We start from the raw sequence: 5,462 nt of genomic DNA, 5'->3' as shown, positions 1-5,462 counted from the left end.
ATCTCAATAGACGCAGAAAAGGCCTTTGACAAAATTCAACAACTTTTCATGCTAAAAACTCTCAATAAATTAGGTATTGATGGGACGTATCTCAAAATAATAAAAGCTATCTATGACAAACCCACAGCCAATATCATACTGAATGGGCAAAAACTGGAAGCATTCCCTTTGAAAACTGGCACAAGACAGGGATGCCCTCTCTCACCACTCCTATTCAACATAGTGTTGGAAGTTCTGGCCAGGGCAATTAGGCAGGAGAAGGAAATAAAGGGTATTCAATTAGGAAAAGAGGAAGTCAAATTGTCCCTGTTTGCAGATGACATGATTGTATATCTAGAAAACCCCATTGTCTCAGCCCAAAATCTCCTTAAGCTGATAAGCAACTTCAGCAAAGTCTCAGGATACAAAATCAATGTACAAGAATCACAAGCATTCTTATACACCAATAACAGACAAACAGAGAGACAAATCATGAGTGAACTCCCATTCACAATCGCTTCAAAGAGAATAAAATACTTAGAAATCCAACTTACAAGGGACGTGAAGGACCTCTTCAAGGAGAACTACAAACCACTGCTCAATGAAATAAAAGAGGATACAAACAAATGGAAGAACATTCCATGCTCATGGGTAGGAAGAATCAATATCGTGAAAATGGCTGTACTGCCCAAGGTAATTTACAAATTCAATGCCATCCCCATCAAGCTACCAATGACTTTCTTCACAGAATTGGAAAAAACTACTTTAAAGTTCATATGGAACCAAAAAAGAGCCCACATCGCCAAGTCAATCCTAAGCCAAAAGAACAAAGCTGGAGGCATCATGCTACCTGACTTCAAACTATACTACAAGGCTACAGTAACCAAAACAGCATGGTACTGGTACCAAGACACTGAACTTTTTCATCTTTTTTTTTTTCTATGAGAAGGAGTCTCGCTTTTTGTCACCCAGGCTGTAATGCAGTGGCTTGATCTCGGCTCACTGCAACCTCTACCTCCTGTGTTCAAGTGATTCTCCTGCCTCAGCCTCCCGGTTAGCTGGGATTACAGGCGCCTGCCACCATGCCTGGCTAATTTTTTGGATTTTTAGTAGACATGAGGTTTCATTATGATGGCCAGGCTGGTCTCGAACTCCTTACCTCAAGTGATCCACCCTCCTTGACCTCCCAAAGTGCAGGGATTACAGGCATGAGCCACTGTACCCGGCCTGACACTGAACTTTTTCAAAACCTACTTCTGCATATATGTCATCTCTGGCTCACCAGCACCCTTCTAAGAACAGAATCTGTCCAGAGACACGGCCACTGGCCAAGAAGGAGGGGACAGAAGCACTGACAGGCTCAGCCAGGATCAGGAAGCCAAAGAACTCACTCTTCTGTCAGTGTTTCTTCCTTCCAGTCACATGGAGAAAACAGATTTGCTTTACAACCACTTGCTGACCACACATTGTCTGCGATCATGAATCTTGGAAATAAATCATTTCCAATGCTCTTTTTACAAAAATTTTTAAAATTCAATATTAAAACATTAAACATTAGCTGGTCATAATGGTGCGTACCTGTAGTCCCAACTACATGGGAGGCTGAGGCAGGAGGATCACTTAAGCCCAGGAGATGGAGGCTGCAGTGTGTTGTGATCGGGCCACTGTACTGCAGCCTATGCAATAGAGTGAGACCCTGACTCAAAAGTAAATAAAATTTTAAAAATAAAATAACACCCAATTCCTTTGTTCTTGTACATTCTTTCAAGGCCTAACCCATGACCTTCTAAGGCATCCTGCATCAATATCCAGTTCACAATGATCTCTTCTTACGAATTTCAACATTGCCACTGTCCCAACAGCTTTCATAGTTGACTATGCCAACTCAGCTCTAAACTCTAGGCTCATGGTGCACAGGGGCTAGGTTTTCTTTCAACTTAGTCTCAACATCTCCTAAAAATTACTCAGTACTTAAAAATTAGCCTGATCACATAATTAGGAGACTAAATGTATGAAAGAAAATACCCCAAACATAAGCTATCTCAAAGTCCATGCTGCGGATTATCTAAACCCTTGTCCCCCAATTAAAGAATCCAACTTCATTTCTTTTTCTTCTTTTGTGTGTGTGTGTGTGTGTGTGGGCGGGGTGGGGGGGTGGGGGATGGAGTCTCACTGTGTCGCCCAGGCTAGAATGCTGTGGCTCAATATCAGCTCACTGTAACCTCCACCTCAGGTTCAAGCAATTGTCCCACCTCAATTGTCCCACCTCAGCCTCTCCGAGTAGCTGGGACCACAGGTGAGTACCACCTGGCCTGGCTAATTTTTGTATTTTTAGTAGAGACAGGGTTTCACCATAATCTCCAGGCTTGTCTCAAACTCCTGACCTCAAGTGATCTGCACGCCTCAACCTCCCAAAGTGCTGAGATCACAGGCGTGAGCCACTGTGCCTGGCCCCAACTTCATTTTCTTTATATGGCCATACACCTGATAATGGTGGGACAGCAGATTGAAATCAAAATGTTATGAATCATTTAACTTCCACTTCTCTTAACAGGTGGCTAACCCGTCCATTGTATCCACTCTTGGAGTTTATGCCTTGGTTAGAAAAATGCGCCTTTCTTAACAATGAAGGCAGAGTGTGAGTAGCACAAGAGTCCACTCTTCTTGTACTTGGCTCATGGGACATACTTGGCTGGGTTCATTCATTTATTCATTCACACAACATTTACCTAGCTTCTCCAAATGCCAAGCAAGTTAACAGGTGCTGGTATAACAGATCCTCACAATAGAGCTATGACAGCAGGGCTGCAGATTTGCTCCACACAGTGAGACAGGAAACATTAGCTGCTGGCTTTACTGACAAGGGATAGAGCTTCAGGTTAAAAAAGAAGGAAAAAAAAAAAGTCATGGCCGGGAATTCTAGCATCTTGGGAGGCCAAGGAGAGAGGATAGCTTGATATCAGGAGTTCGAGGCCAGCCTGGGCAAGATAGTGAGACCCTGTCTCTACAAAAAAAAAATTTAATTAGCCAGGCGTGGTTTTGTGGACCTGTAGTCCCAGCTACTTGGGAAGCTGAGGTGAGAGGATCACCTGAGCCCACGAGGTCCAGGCTGCAGTGAGTTATGATGGTGCCATTGCACTCCAGCCTGAGCAACAGAGTGAGACCCTGTCAAAAAAAAAAAAAAAATGAGAGAGAGATAGAAAGGGAAGGAAAAAAGGGAGGGACGGAGGGAGGGCAGGAGGAAGAAAGGAAAAACGGAAGGAAGGAAGGATGGTAGGAAGGAAGGAAAAATAAGTCACTAGTCTTGCACCAGAACGCTCCTAAGTGTAAGGCTAATCTTGTCCATCTGATCTGAGATCATGGTCAGAAGGACAAATAAACTCTAAATTTTGTCTAAGCCACAAAGATCAGCCGGCTAGGTCAGCTCCTCCCCCTTGCTCTTCCGAGGCCCCTGCCCTGGGGACGGACAAATGGACTCTGGGGACCTCTCCATGGGCTGGATCCAATCTCCGATGCTGCTGCAGCGCCGAGATCTCGACGCATTCACACCACGGTGCAAGAGACGGGCAGTCACTTCAGGAAAGGGAGAGAGGAGAGGACAGGTACAAGGGCAATGGTAGGCGGAGCTTTCCCAAGAAAGGTGCCCAACCAAGGAGAACGCGTTAAAAGCTGCGTTCTTTCTCCAGGAGGGGATGGGAGAAAGCAAAGACCCCTGATCGTGACCGCAGGAATGCAGCCAGGCCCTTAGAAACGGGCGGCGGGCCCCTCCCCTGCGACCTGGACGTGGATCCAGGAGCCCGGCAAGCTGGGCCCCACGGCCACCCGCATTTCCAACAGCTACATGGCGGACCCCTCCTCCGTTCTCCGCACGGGGGCGCCCAGCTCGTCCACCCACCCTAGGGGGCGCGTGGGAACCGCGGAGTCCGCTGCGCACACTTCGAAGTCCCTTCTGGGCGGCTCGGAAGCCTCATCTCGATCGCGGGCCTTCCAGGAGACGCCCCGGTCCACAGCAGGATAGGATGGGGGCTCCCCAAGGGAGGAACTACAGGAAGATGGAACGGGATTTCTTCACCTGCCCTTCATCGCCTAAGTGGGCCTAGATTCTAACCGGCTGTCCCTTCTGTGTCATCGCCACAGTCCCCATGTGCACCCCGTTTGTCCTCCCCACTTCCTGCCCTGTGTCGCCTCCCCCAACTCCACCTCCCTTCGTGACCGCTGGCTGGGTTGACCCTGCCGGGCCGGCGCTCTGGACCTTCAGGCCAGCCTGTCCTCTCTCCTTGTGTGCACCCCAACACCTCCCAGCTCGGCCTGGAGCATCTATTAGGTTGGTGCAAAAGGAATTGCGGTTTTGCGATTTTTTTTTAATGGCAAAAACCGCAATAACTTTTATACCGCCCATAAATAGGCAGGGGGAACCTGCAAGAAAAGCCTTAGAGAAGGGGCCAAGATCCAACCGCCTAGCCCGCCAGGAGTATGGGTTTGCCAGAGGCATATGATATATTGAAGCAGGAAAGGAAGAAAAAAGATTAAGGAGACAAATTTTTCGTGATAAGGGGTTTCGTGATAAACTCAGAAACAGCAACTACCAGTTATGGGGCACTTAAACTGACACTACCTCATTAATCCTCACAACGGTCCTCTGCAGGTGGCGGTTTTGTTTGTTTGTTTTTTACCATCTTACATGCCAGAGCTGCAGTTGGTATGCAACAAAGGCAGCATTTGAACCCTGGCCTGCTCATGCCAGCGCGGGGACATCTAACTGCACCCGCCACAAAGGACAATGGAGGAATACTGTGTCATTTGTAATATGAGCAAGTGGGGAAAAGACAAAACAAATGCCTGTATTATGCCCAAGTTGTAAATTTATAAACATGAATGAAATAAACATAAAAGAGGCTAACCGTTTTTTGTTTTTGTTTTTTTGTTTTTTTGTTTTTTGTTTTGAGACAGAGTCTTTCTCTGTCACCCAGGCTGGAGTGCAGTGGCACAATCTCAACTCACTGCAACCTCCGCCTTCCCAGGTTCTAGGCGATTCTCCTGCCTTGGCCTCGGAGTAGCTGTAATTACAGGCATGCACCACCTCGCCCGGCTAATTTTGTATTTTTAGTAGAGATGGAGTTTCACCACCTTGGCCAGGGTGGTCTTCAACTCCTGACCTCAGGTGATCCATCCATCTCGGCCTCCCAAAGTGCTGGGATTACAGGCGTGAGCCACCACGCCCAGCCATGGCTAACCATTTTCTAAAAACAAAGAGAGTAAATGGGAATTGTCCACAAAATAAAGTTTTAAATTTATGTAGTTCCTTGTTGATTTGTAAAGGGCGCCATTTGTTTGAAATCATTCTTACACGCTTGGATTAAAACACTGGTTCCTTCACACACTTGTATTTTGAAGGGAGTATAAAATGTGATTCCCTCACACCTGTGATCCCAGCACTTTGGGAGGTCGAGGCGGATGGATCACCTTAAATCAGGAGTTTGAGA

General features: G+C 46.9%; 1 annotated feature.

Moving 5' to 3' along the window:
- Positions 3,202–3,702: an enhancer, noted in NCBI's record as "H3K4me1 hESC enhancer chr4:170696269-170696769 (GRCh37/hg19 assembly coordinates)". NCBI's record gives its function as "activates a minimal SCP1, AML or CMV promoter by ChIP-STARR-seq in primed H9 embryonic stem cells {active_cell/tissue: H9 hESC(primed)}" and the evidence as "EXISTENCE:reporter gene assay evidence [ECO:0000049][PMID:30033119]".

This window comes from Homo sapiens, chromosome 4 (genome assembly GCF_000001405.40).
Source record: "Homo sapiens chromosome 4, GRCh38.p14 Primary Assembly".
Classification (NCBI taxonomy): domain Eukaryota; kingdom Metazoa; phylum Chordata; class Mammalia; order Primates; family Hominidae; genus Homo; species Homo sapiens.
Note: the sequence above shows the minus strand (reverse complement) of the source record. Positions and strands in the feature narration are given on the sequence as shown.